The sequence below is a fragment of the Homo sapiens genome, chromosome 9 (genome assembly GCF_000001405.40).
Source record: "Homo sapiens chromosome 9, GRCh38.p14 Primary Assembly".
Lineage (NCBI taxonomy): Eukaryota > Metazoa > Chordata > Mammalia > Primates > Hominidae > Homo > Homo sapiens.
The window spans coordinates 123,160,009-123,173,444 of NC_000009.12; the positions used below are offsets into that span (position 1 = coordinate 123,160,009).

A 13,436-nucleotide genomic window follows, 5' to 3' on the forward strand; every position below is an offset into this window, starting at 1 on the left:
AAGAGAAGTGGGTCAGCCAAGGAGACTTTTGTGGGCAGCAGGTGAACACTAAGTGATTAACCACCAGTGCAAAGTCAAGTGTAAGAAGACACTCACTTCTAAAAGGTATAAAACCTTTTTGTCAGCAAAAAATATTTCAAGCTCTGTAACATGAATACAATGAGGTAGAAGAGGCAAGTTATATGCACAAAAGAAGAATTCGCTTAAAAAGATGCTTTATTTTTTTTTCATGGCAAACATACATAATGCATGCCTTAGCTAACTTAGGAGATAGCCATTTTAAAGTAACATCTCATTTCTACAGGATTTTCTCTGCTACAGCTTCCAAATTTGCTTTTAGCCATATTTAAGTACTTACCCATCCTTTCAATGGTGCCCATGTGGGGACTCTGTTGCACAAATCACGCAGAATGCGGAGGACAATTACACATGATTTTAATCCATTTGCCCTTGCCTAAAACAAACAAAATGATTCCAGATATCCCTATTGAGATCTATTCTTCATTTTGGGCAAGTTCTTTCAAGTGAATACTAAGTAGCAAATTATTCATCAGTTATCAGGCAAACAAAAAAATCAATTAATCACAAGTAGTAAAATTAAGGCTTAAAAAGGTACATTTTAAAAATAAAAGGACCATAATATTAAAATTAATTTCGTAGTCTCATGGCAACCCCACTCCAGGCAACTACCTAATTTAACCTTTAGCTTTTCTCAGTCATGTTTGATTTTATAAGCAACCATCTGAAATTCAGAATACTAAGCCAAAAAGAATTATAATAAAACATCATGAACTATAGAAGCTATACTAGGCACATATCTAAATTAACTCAATTACTCCAACAACCACACTATGAGCTAGAAAGCACCCCTCATTTTATGTAGTACACAGAAACCAATTAAGTGGCAGGTGTTCCAAATGAAACTTGGACAAACTTTAATAACAATAAGATAGTAAGAAAAAGCCAACCTGAAACCATTTGGCATGTCGAAGAGACGCCAAGGCGTTCAGGCATTTCTGCCTGTCCAATAAGTCCGGAGGATCTTTCATCGAAACATTTTCTAACAGTAAAATGGGATAAAGAGAGACAAATACAATTTGACCAAGCGATTCCTATCAAATTATCAAACAATAAAAAATAAAAAGAATAACAGCATTTGAGTGAACTAATAAGACTCCCAGAAAATTTCCTCATTTGGCTGTGTTGCTTTTTAAAAAAATTATGTGCACTATGATTATTATTTAAGTAAACAGTCATCAGAGTAGTTCTGTGCACAAATACAATGAAACATGAAAAATTCATTCAGTAAACAAATCAATGACAGCTGCTACTTAAAATCTGGGATCTTATTAAGCATCTATAACATTACAGGGCACAAAATAAGTACAGAGCACTTTTTCCTTTGGCAGGATGCAAAGAAGGGAAATCTGGGACCAATAGCATTAACAATTTTTTTAACAGAAGAAATTTTAATCTCTAACCATCTTTAAGGAAAACTGGAAATCAATTATGTCTCATATCAATGAGATATACTAAAAATAAACTGAGGATGACAATTTTTTTACACTAGATAAACTAATTCAACAAGATAACCATTAACAGAAACTCCACCCCATGATTGAGAACTCAAGTATCAGTTTGGAATTCCCTATTCTAAACCAAAATTATTAAAATTACAAATATAAAATACAGTGAACTACATTTCAAGTTTTACATGCCTTTTAAAAATAAAAAGCAACAAAGAACACTATTTAATTATGGCTATTCAGCTTGCCTTAATAATTTAAAGTTGGATTAAATGGCCCAAAGCAGCAAATATCCATATTTGAGAAGATGTCACATGACACTAAAGTCAAGTTTAGACAGCCAAATTTATCTCCTCTAAGCTACTGAAAAGTAGGCTTTTAAACTTTTGGGATTGGTACATTCCATAAATGCACACAATATGCAAATGCTTCTTGAGTAATAATTCTTTGTTTAATACAATTAAGTCGGATTTACCATTCTTTTTAAGGATTCTCTTAAATATAAGACAGCCCACTAACACTTCTTCCCAGCATTATCATGATAGTAACATCGGATAGAGGTAGCGCATTTGTGTGGGCCAACTAATACAATGTATATATTTCTAAATGGGAGACAATAACAAAGATACTTTTTGATTTCTTCAGTTATCAGAGGATCCTATTACAACAATCAATGTTTATTCTGTGGTTTTTTTCTTTTTTTTTTTTGAGACAGGTTCGTCCTTTGTCACCCAGGCTGGAGTGCACTGGCACGATCTCAGCTCACTGCAACCTCTTCCTCCCAGGCTCAAGCGATCCTCCCACCTCACCCTCCTGAGTAGCTGGGACTACAGGCATGTGCCACCATACCCAGCTAATTTTTTTGTAGATATGGGATCTCACTATGTTACCCAGGCTGGTCTCAAACTCCTGGACTCAAGCAATGTGCCTGCCTTGGCCTCCCAAAATGCTGCGACTACAGACATGAGCCACCACACCCAGCCAATGTTTATTCTAACTGATGAAATGTCATTAAAAAAGGCATAATGCCAATAGGAAACAAATCTATTAAAGGAAGAACTGTGGTTCTCTTTACTGGCCATGACACTGTAAAGGCTGAAGTGCTACACACTTATTTTCTGACCAGGTGAGCTCTACACCAGTTATTTGCATTGTTTCCCATTAACCACTGCTAACAAAATCAGAATACAATGTTTCATTACTCCCTTTTACTCATAAAATGGGAAGCCTCAAAAAGGATTATTACTCTGATTTATAAATATAAACAAATGTACCACGGGTATTCATTTCATAGGTGATATAGCTCAATTTTGTCTTTATAGTGATACAAAATATACAAGTAGCTCACTTTAATGTTTCTATGTCAAAATGCTTAACTGTGGTCAATACAAGCATCTGTGTAAAGCTCACATATCAGATAAAACAAACTACTGTAAATGAATGTTTACATTCTCTTAAAAGTTAGACGTAACAAAGGTTGACTAACTACTAAGTAATGTAATCCCAATAAATAGTATGGAACTTGTTTTTTAAGATGTCAATTTTTAAATGAATACTATGACAAGCTAAATTTTATTCCATCATCTTACCAAGTAGGAATGTCAGGAAGAGGGAGACAATGGAAGAGGGAAGTAACACAGAGGATAGGAAAAGGCAAGGCAAGCCAAAATTCTTCTTGTACTTTCTAATACTTTCATCCAGGGATCAGAGGTTGTAATTAGCATCTTACTCTGATTGTAACACAGATATTTTTAATGGGAGACAATGGCAAAAATATTTTGATAAATTATTTCATCCCAAAGTCAGATTGTAACCACAAACTCTTATTTTAGAAAACTGAGACACTGGCTTGCTACAGACAGTCAACATTTGAAGACAACACATTCTATGAAAAAGAGATGAAAGGGACAGGCACTGAACAGAAGACTTGCACCAGGTTCCCTTTTCCATCACCATCAGAATGACCGTGTTTCTTCATGCTCTGATAGTCAGAAAAGCAAAAGATCCAAAATGGCTTCAATATTCAGGAGGTAGAAAACAGTAGAGGAGATATAATAATTCATCTCATTTTATCTTTTTCAAAGTTCTTAATATTAAAACAATACAAATTCATATGGTAGTACAGTGCTATTTATAAGCATAGATTGCCTGTTTCCTTTATATAATTAATAATATACAGTTTTATGTATGTTTTCATTCCTTTGAAAAAACTTCATTTAATGTGGCAATCGCAAAGCTGCTGCTGGGAAAACACTGCTACCCTTGGTAGCAGAATCTCAACTTTAATATTTCTGAACTTTAATGTAGGCGTTTAAATTTTGAGGAGGATCAAAACTTTCCTGATAACACATCTTGGAGTTCTTAATTAGAAACAATAGAACTGTGAGCCATTTCATTATCTCCTAGAATGACCAGTGAAACAGATAAGAAACAGCATGGGAGGCAGGAGTTGGAAGGTGACAAAAATGCCAAAAGCAAAGAAATATAGCATTTTTTTGTTTGCTTGTTTTTGTTTTGTTTTTTGTTTTTTGAGACAGAATCTCACTCTGTAGCCCAGCTGGAGTGCAGTGGCATGATCTCGGCTCACTGCAACCTCCGCCTCCCGGGCTCAAGCAATTCCCATGCCTTGGCCTCCCGAACAGCTGGGACTACAGGTGCGTGCCACCATGCCCTGCTAATTTTTGTTATTTTTAGTAGAGATGGGGTTTCACCATGTTGGCCAGACTGGACTTGAACTCCTGACCTCAGGTGATCTGCCCACCTCAGCCTCCCAAAGTGCTGCAATTACAGGTGTGAGCCACCGCACCCGGCCAGAAATACAGCTTTTAAGAAAATCTATTACTCAGTAACCTAGCATCAGGGCATGAAGGTACATACAACATTCTAGCAACAGAAGCACTAGAAAGTCTACTATGCCTAACCATGTTCATTTGGTTAGAGGTTAAATCAGTGACCAGAATCACACCATACCACAGGAAATGTTGGTCAGTTTCTCTCAATGCCTTACATGCAAGCTAGCTATCTGTCCCTGTTAACAAAACACCAGCCTGGAGATGGGGCTGGCAAAAAAACAAAACATGATTGCATTAAACAGGAGTTATATGTCTGGAACCTAGGCTCTTCAAAGTTAAAATAATTGAGCTCAGTATCATGAGGGGCTCCTTGACAATCAGGATGAAACTGAGCTACTAAGTCTATGCTGACAGAATTTTCTAATTAGCCTAAGAATATCCTGGCAGCCCCTTCTCTCTCAATTCCTTGAAGCTTTCTGGAGAGAAGACATGCCCCAAACCACTGTCCATGCAAAACACAGGCACATAATAACATAAACAGATAAATGTAGCAATAAGGTAGAACAGAGAAAGCACTGTTCTCCTAATTTATGTGACTAATGTCACTCGGTATGACTTTTCTTCAGTGGCAGTCTGCCACTGGAAAGACAGTGCCTAAAAGTTTGCCCTGGATTGACCGGGCACGGTGGCTCACACCTGTAATCCCGGCACTTTGGGAGGCCGAGGCAGGCAGATCACAAGGTCAAGAGATCGAGATCATCCTGGCCAATATGGTGAAACCCCGTCTCTACTGAAAACATAAAAATTAGCTGGGTGTGGTGGCCAGTGCCTGCAGTCCCAGCTATTCAGGAGGCTGAGGCAGGAGAATCGCTTGAACCCGGGAGGCGGACATTGCAGTGAGCCGAGATCGCACCACTGCACTCCAGCCTGGAGACAGAGCGAGACTCCATCTCAAAAAAAAAAAAAAAAAAAAGTTTGCCCTGGATAACGTAGATCCAGAAACTAGGGAAGGCAGGAAAATAAAGCCCATCATTATCACAGCTGTGATGGCTGTACTGTAAAACCTACTGCCTTGACCCTAGCAAGACACATGCTAGTGAATTTCTGCCAAGAAGGGCGAGTTCACACTGGCACCAATATGAAGGGACTCTGAGGCAACTTCTCTGACAGTCCCTGAAAATCCACCCCAGTACTGAGGAGAGAGGTGTCTCTTAGTCTAAGCCACAAGTGTCTCTGTAGTTTCCTTATCCACCTGGTTTCAAACTGCATTATAAATAAGCAGATAATTTATCACCCCCTTCAATAGCAAATATATTTCTAATTTAAAATCACAAGCACCAAAAGAAATTGAGACTCTGTGTGAAGCTCAGAATGACCAGATCAGCCTAACCACTCATGCAGTAATCCTAGACAATAATGGGAAGTGGCCTGCATACTAGACGTAGAGTCAGGAGAGCTGGGTAAAATGTGAGATTTTCCTCATTTATAAAATGGCAATTAGCTACCCCATAGGGCCATGTGAGGGCTTTTAAAATAAACCATATGTGAGGAAGTGCTTATCACATGGTAGGTTATAAAAATATCTTAACAGAGATTAATCTTCAATATATATTACTTGAGCTATGAGATGCCCATTAATACTTCTTACACACTGGAGAGTCCTATTTAATCAGACAATATGCTGACTATGTTAATTCACTTAACAGATTTATAGGGCTTTTTAAAAAATCATCTACTACGTATTAGGTACCCTTAGAGGTGCTAAGGATAAAGGACAGGCAAAAAGACACCTGAATTATAAGCTATACAATATACCAGGTTTTTATTATTAGCACTGCATAAATCAGTATACTGATTCTAATACTATACATCACTGGGTGTTTAAGAGTTTAACTGTGCTTGGGTTGACTTCTTTTGACCTACCATGTGCACATTATTTTCACTGTTACGGCAGTTTGAGTAGGTGCATTCAATAAGTTGACTACTACTATTTACTGAGCAACTACTTTGTGCCAGTTATTGTACAAGTCACATTACATAAATTCTCTCACTTAAAACAACTTTCTAAGGTATTTATAATCCACAATTTAAAACGAGGAAACCTACCCAAGGTCACACAGCAATAGCAACTAATGGAGTTAAGAGTCAAATAAGGCCAGGGGCACTGGCTCACACCTAGCAGTTTGGGAGGCCGAGGCGGGCAAATTGCCTGAGCTCAGGAGTTCGAGGCCAGCCTGGGCAACATAGCAAAACCTCATCTCTACTAAAATACAAAAAATTAGCCGGTCATGGTGGCATGCACCTGTAGTCCCAGCTACTCAGGGGGCTGAGGCACGAGAATTGCTTGAACCCAGGAGGCAGAGGTTGCAGTGAGCTGAGATCATGCCACTGCACTCCAGCCTGGGCAACAAAGCAAGACTGTCTCCAGCAACAACAACAACAACAACAACAACAACAACAACAACAAAAAAACAAGCCAAACGAAAGACTGCTGCACACCAAGATCTGTGCTTCTATGCCTTCATTAGCAGGAAACGTAGTAATGGGGATATGGTTATTCTACAGGGCGTTCAAGTAAAGGGTTAGAATACAGAAAGACAACGGAAAACATAGGAGGAAACTTACCTATGAAACAGTAAACAATACCAAAGAGATTCACTCTGTATTATGGCAATTTAAAATGTAAATCGTGATTTGAAAGGAGTAGGTAGTTAGATCCATTGCACAATCCTGAGGAAATAAGTTTCATGCCCCAGTCCTCTGGTTCTGTCTGCTCTCAACCACTCTTTTTTTTTTCTTCCTTTTTTAGATTTTACCCAAATATGTGGCAAGTTAAGACAGAAAAAAGAAAGATGTGAGGTGTGTATGTATTGTGAACAGTTTGTTTGGGTGGGGGTAGGTGAAGGAAAGTTGAGATACTACAGGAAAATGTCTCCAAGAAAAAAGTTACAATGGATTTTTTTTTAACTTTGAGAAAAAAAAAAGTATAAATTAGGAGAAAAAAGGGTAACTTTCAGCCCCACAAATTCCTGGGACCTGAATGAATCTTGTGCTTTTATCCCATGCAGCTGAAAAGAACTGCATCAAGGGGATGAGCAGCTGTCTAGTGTGAGAAAACAGAATCGTACAGCCCAGGTCTGAAGTGCGTAATTATAGACCAGATCCTCCAAGTTGCCCAGGAATACACAAACCAGTAACAAAAATCAAAAATTGTCTTTGACAAAGCCCAAGTTAGAAAAAACGAGCAAATTATAAAAGATATCAAGTGAGTCAACAGGGCTGGGATGTTAAGGACAACAGCAAAGCAAATCTTTCTGCCATTCAAAAAAAAAAAAGGAAGTAAGATGTGTAAAACATTAGATCAAAGCTGATTCCTTCACCTTACCTGATCCCATATAACAGCTGATGAGATTCAGCTCATAGAGGTCTTTGGATCCTTCAGTAACTCAAACACCTTGAAGAGAGACTATGACTCTCTTACTTTATTACAAAATCTATTCTATAATAGTTTCTAGCAAGAGTACAATATACTAAGAATGTTTTCAGCTTCTCTAAACAGAAGTTAAAGTTATAAAGGCAACAGGCTAAGTTTAAAGGTATCACTGAAAGCTATGACAAAATCTCATATAAGTACACAAAACCAAGGAATAAAGATGACTGATGTTCCCTTAATACTTTCAAAAAAAAAAAATGAAAGGGATGCTGACAGATACAAGCAAACATGTAATTAACTTAGCCTTTGGCAACTTCAGTCTTTTTCTCATCTCCTTATACTCAAATAATTTTTAATAATACCTATAATTACAACACTACTTAGAAATGGTTGGTTTTATACTAGAGGGTCAAGTAGAACACATCTTACCAGAATTAACATTTATCTTGACACTTCAGAAATCATTTTATAGTTCTACAGTTAATGGTGAACTGTAAAGCTGTTAAAAAAATTAAGCCATTTAAGATTGGTTCTTCAGAGGTGCTATAGATACTACATACAGCAAAAAAATTTTAATGCATAGGCATAAGCTCAATTATAGATTGGATGCCCTTTGATTTTAAAATATGACTCATAAATGTGTCTGGTTTATATCTGTTGAGTTATGATATAGATGATTTTAGTTATCCCAAAAAGCATTTTTTTAAAAAGAGTCTATCACTTTTACTTTAAGTGATTCTATGAGTCATGTCTCTCAAAAATTAAAACTCCAACTTTACTGGTACCTTTTTCTCTACCCTTATCACCAAGTTGAAATAAACTAAGAAACTGACCAATATTTACTGCGGCACTGGTATTTCAGGTAAGGGAGTAAGCAATGGGACTTGTTGAAAGTCTGGTGATGAAAAATAGCAACAGGGAGTCCCCACTGGCCCAGATAGGCTGCAATGCCTCTAAATTGTCATGACAGAGTAGCCAGCTGGTCAAAGGTTTGACACAGGAGAAATACCACCTGGCAAGTTTCTAGGGAATGAGAGGCAGAAACAAGCTAACTTGACAGGATAAAAACATCAGAAAAAGAAGCCCACCACAATTCCATCATGAACTTCTCAAAACTACCAATAACTGAATACATTTCTCTACTTTTATGAGGATGACGCTGCCAGACAGCAATTCTTCTTAACTTCAGAAGAAAGTTAGTTTAAAGCATGATTCTCACATAAATCATATTCAAAATGTTAACAGGGTCACAAACCTCCTAAAAAAAAATTTACTAAACATTATCCATTAAAAAAATTCAGTCCCCCAATTTACATCCCTTACACTATAAAACAAATCTAGACACAGACATGTACAAATCTTATGAGATTATACAGCTATTAGAAGTCAAGAGCAATATGATGCAAATAATTCTTTTTTTTTTTTTTTTGGCAGAGTCTTGCTCTGTCACCCAGGCTGGAGTGCAGTGTTGTGATCTCAGCTCACTGCAACCTCCGCTTCCTGGGTTCAAGCAATTCTCATGTCTCAGCCTCCCGAGTAGCTGGGATTACAGGCGCCCACCACCACGCCTGGCTGATTTTTTTGTATTTTCAGTAGAGACGGGGTTTTGCCAAGTTGGCCAGGTTGGTCTTGAACTCCTGGCCTCAAGCAATCCACACACCTCGGCCTCCCAAAGTGCTGGGATTACAGGCATGAGCGACCATGCCCAACCAGGATGCAAGTAATTTTGGAGCAATGAGTAAATTTGAAAACAATTCTGTTTTGGACCACATTTAATCCTGAAATCCGACCATTAAGCCAAAATACATAGAATAAGTTGGCTGATAGCAATAACTTAATGCAATACTAGACAAAGTAAAACAGAACAGCAAATGGTATAAAAATTAAAGCAGAGTTAAAACCAACAAGACAAGCACAAGTTTTTGAAATAACATTTTATATTTTGAATTCATACATTTTTGCAAAATATACTGATTATGTAGAAACAAAGCCATTTAAAATACTATTAAATAGAGTGGCATAAAACAAATGAAGGCTGTTATTTCCTAAATCCATAAAACATTGTTAACATAGCTTTTATATGAAGAAAACAAACAACAACAACAAATATATACATATATATATATATATATACATGTGTACCTCCATCCTTCTTCTCCAATTCGTCCCTAATTAGAGGTGAGGTAAGTATCACCTTCAAAGTTAGCGTGGGCTCTTTTGTATTCCGAATTATAATAGATGCCTCATTTACACATTGTTCCACTTGATATTTCTCTTCTGTGAGTTTCTGAAAGTCACCAAGATTTCAAAATCACCCAGTTAATTAGACTGAAACCTCAAAAGAAAAAAAAACAATGCTTGTACTAAGTTCTCGAATGTTACTATTAATATTACTGTGCTCAAAGGGCAAAGAAAGCCTGTAACTAGTTCTTTACTGGGGATAACACTTTTCTCTCCTCCCAACTTACAAGAAAACCCTCTTTCTCCATTCTTTAAAAAGCAACCACAATGTCAACCATCCATACAATTATGAAACAATATTTAAAACCATTCTAATATTTGAAAGTAAAATGCCAATAGCATCAGTATGTGATAAATGGTAAATTGTTGTTCTTAAAATTATTACAGAGAACTATTATAAAATAAGAAATAGCTGGGACTGCTCTCCAAAACAATAGCTCTTTTTGTAGAGCAGCCTGAACAGGAACTCCTACTTGGCAAAAACTTATGAATATAGGATTATGGAGCTTTTTAAAGAGCACCAAATAAGCATGAATGAAAAAGTATCTCTGCACAGTCACTGACCAGGAGGAAACAATGAGTATAAACAAATAACTTCTTCCCTTCTCCGACAACAGGTCTCAGAGATCTTCCAATGGGACCTACCACTATGGGTCAAGTCATCTGACATCTACAGAAAACCTACATTGCTTCTTTTAACATACAAATATAAACAAACGTACAATTTAGGTAGGGGCCTCCCACAAAATAATCACCTGATCAGAATTATATATTAAGTTATGCTTAATATATTATTATACATTAAATATATGATTTAAAATAAGTTACACGGGGCTTTTTTTCTTAGTGGTGAAATTTAGTGTCTATTACCTGACATACAGTAGCCAGGCTGAATAGGGACACTACCAAGTCCCTGCTCATCAGTGTGTATTAAAAGAATTCAAAGTCACTTATGTAAAAATAGCATTTTACCATTAAACGATCCCAAAAAAGTAGGAAAGGGAAAACTCATTATCCTACTTTTGAATAGAGGAAGCCAAGGAAGGGAAAGGCCATACGTAGATAAAAGAACCAGAATATAAAGAAACTGCAAAAAACAGCTCACATTCATTTTGTCACTAAAAGAGCATTAAAGATGTCTATCAAAGAATAAATTGAACTTCATTTTTCAATTATGCATGTCGATCACCATAAGACACACCCAAAATAATAAACATAATATGCATTTTGTGCTAGAGTAATTTTAAGTGATTTCTGGTTTTGGTCATCCTCCTCCTCCTTTGCTCAAAGAAGTTCTAAAAGCATCCTAGGAAAGAGTATGAAGAGAAAAGGTAAGGTAAAACCTCAGCTAACTAACGTACTTAGATAACTGAAAGTTTTGCTATGTTAAGTGCTCGGGAAAAAGATTTTTGGTCCATAAGGAAATAATATCGTATCAGAGACTGGTTTTCCACACAAACACCATGAAAACTGGGCAGGGCAGGAGGGGCGGAGGGTGCTCGGGGAGAAAGGTTTAATTGTAAAAGTCACACTTAATTTCATGAATATTATTAGTAACAATACACTTGCACACATGTGTATATATGTGGGCATGTGTGTACATGTATACATTTTAATCTGAGATTAGTGTACAATCATCATCCCCATTTTACAAGAAAATGTATCTTTACCCAAACATAGATTTATTGTTGGAGAAATCTATTAGCTATGTTAAATTGAAAGATACTTCTCCTAATTTCCACCATTAGTCTTAAGAGTTCACACCTCTTTTACCTTCTGCCAGACAGCATTTCGAAGACCTAAAGGTATTTATATCTTTTTTAGTTTCTTTAGCCTAAAAAGCTTCAGTCTCCTAAAATTTGAGATGGTTTGTATACCCTGTACACCCTCCAGGGTAACCCCCTTGAATACTTGCTAACTAGACAAGAACCTTTTTAAACTGCGATGCTCATAAATAAAGACCCTCACTCAAGAGAGAAACAATGTGGAGTTTACAAAGTTGTGATCTGCACAGAGAAAGCTCTAACAATGCCAACTAAAGCTTGGCCCAATCTTCTCTGTCTTCAAAACAGGAGAGATGTGATAGATTTTCTGAATAAAAACTCCGATTTACTGTTGCACTGGTTCTCAACCCTTTTTCAATGCTGCAACATCTGAGGATGAGGAATATGATCATTCTCATAAGAAACAAGATTCATGAAAGGAACAGAAAGGGGGTGAGGTGGGTGAAAAAGCCACTAGTATGTCTGATTCTGATAATTCTACATGTAAGAGTAACGATGTTTACTATACTAACAGCAGAAATACAGATTAAATGCTAAAACAAAATAAAAATTGAAACGGGAACTTTATTAATATTCTAATAAACTACAAGTATAGTTAGCCAGAAAGCCCATTAATTAGCTTTCCACTTTGTAAAGCTTTATTGCATGTTTAATACATAAAGCTATGTTCCACTCTCCTTCCTCCAAATGATCACAAAAGGATTTTTTTAAAAGGGAGGGAAAGGTAAATAGATTCAACCCTATAAAAGACCAGAAAACATTTCTCCATCAAAATTGAAAGTGGAAAAGCCAAGTATGTTCTGTCACTTTAAAAACCATATATTAAGACAAAATGATAACATAGTGCCCCCAAAATTAATACAGGAGAATGTGCCAATCAGTAAAATAAATCTGAGTGTCAAGAATGGTACTAAAAAATCAGAGATGGTTTTGAGGGTCAGCTAGTGAATATGAAAGAAAATGATCTAGTAACAAAGCTAAGAAAAACAAACTTAGAATTCATACATCTTGAAAAAAAGACCCCTTTTAAAAGATATACAAATAAAAGAAACTAAATTTTAAAAAGTGAGTGGTGGTGGGGAGCATTCAACAATTCACAAGTTTGGACTTAGAGGCCAACATCTATTTCTGTGGCATTGATATGAAGACAAACTAATATAAAATTATCAAAAGCTGTAATTTAATTGGACCACAGACAATATGCATCTGAAACTGAAGATGATCACAGACTCCCAATCAGTGATGCAATGAGTCCTTGGGGTAGGCTGGCAGGGCAGGTCCTAGAATGACCAGAACCCCAGAATGGTTACCTTCATCCCTGAGGAGCCTTCAGCCTTCAGCAGCATCCTCCAGGGAACATGCCAGCATCATATTTTTCTAAATGCATCCCAGTGTAAAAAAGGTTTGGAGACAAGAAATAAACAGTAATTTCCATTAACAGAACAAAGAGGTGGCAAATTAACTGAGTCTTCAGTTTTAAAAATTACTATCTATGAAAGTCTCTCGTTGATAAGAAAGTCTCTTAGTCGCTAGAAAGTATCTAGGCTGTTTTCAATCTTCCAATTCTTTTCTGCAGTATACCAACCCTTCCAAGAACTTTATAATGGTGAGACCTAGCCTGGAAAAAATGAAGATTCTCAGCAAGATACAACGGAAAAGT

At 36.7% G+C, this 13,436-nt stretch overlaps 1 protein-coding gene across 11 annotated transcripts in view; it reads right to left on the reverse strand.

Moving 5' to 3' along the window:
- The window catches only part of STRBP (spermatid perinuclear RNA binding protein), a 159,093-nt gene that overhangs the window by 50,515 nt on the left and 95,142 nt on the right, over nucleotides 1-13,436 (reverse strand). For 10 of the 11 annotated variants that reach the window (XR_007061327.1, XR_007061326.1, XR_001746347.2 and 7 more), the window contains 3 exons: nucleotides 9,894-10,038; nucleotides 969-1,060; nucleotides 359-454 (listed from right to left, as the gene is read on the reverse strand). Coding sequence is in view for 7 of the 11 variants with exons in the window: in NM_001376109.1 (NP_001363038.1) it covers nucleotides 359-454; nucleotides 969-1,060; nucleotides 9,894-10,038 (333 nt within the window). In the remaining 4 variants the exon portion in view is untranslated. Of the gene's footprint in view, nucleotides 1-358; nucleotides 455-968; nucleotides 1,061-8,180; nucleotides 8,251-9,893; nucleotides 10,039-13,436 lie in introns of all 11 variants that reach the window. The other variant, NR_033234.2, reaches the window with a different exon arrangement.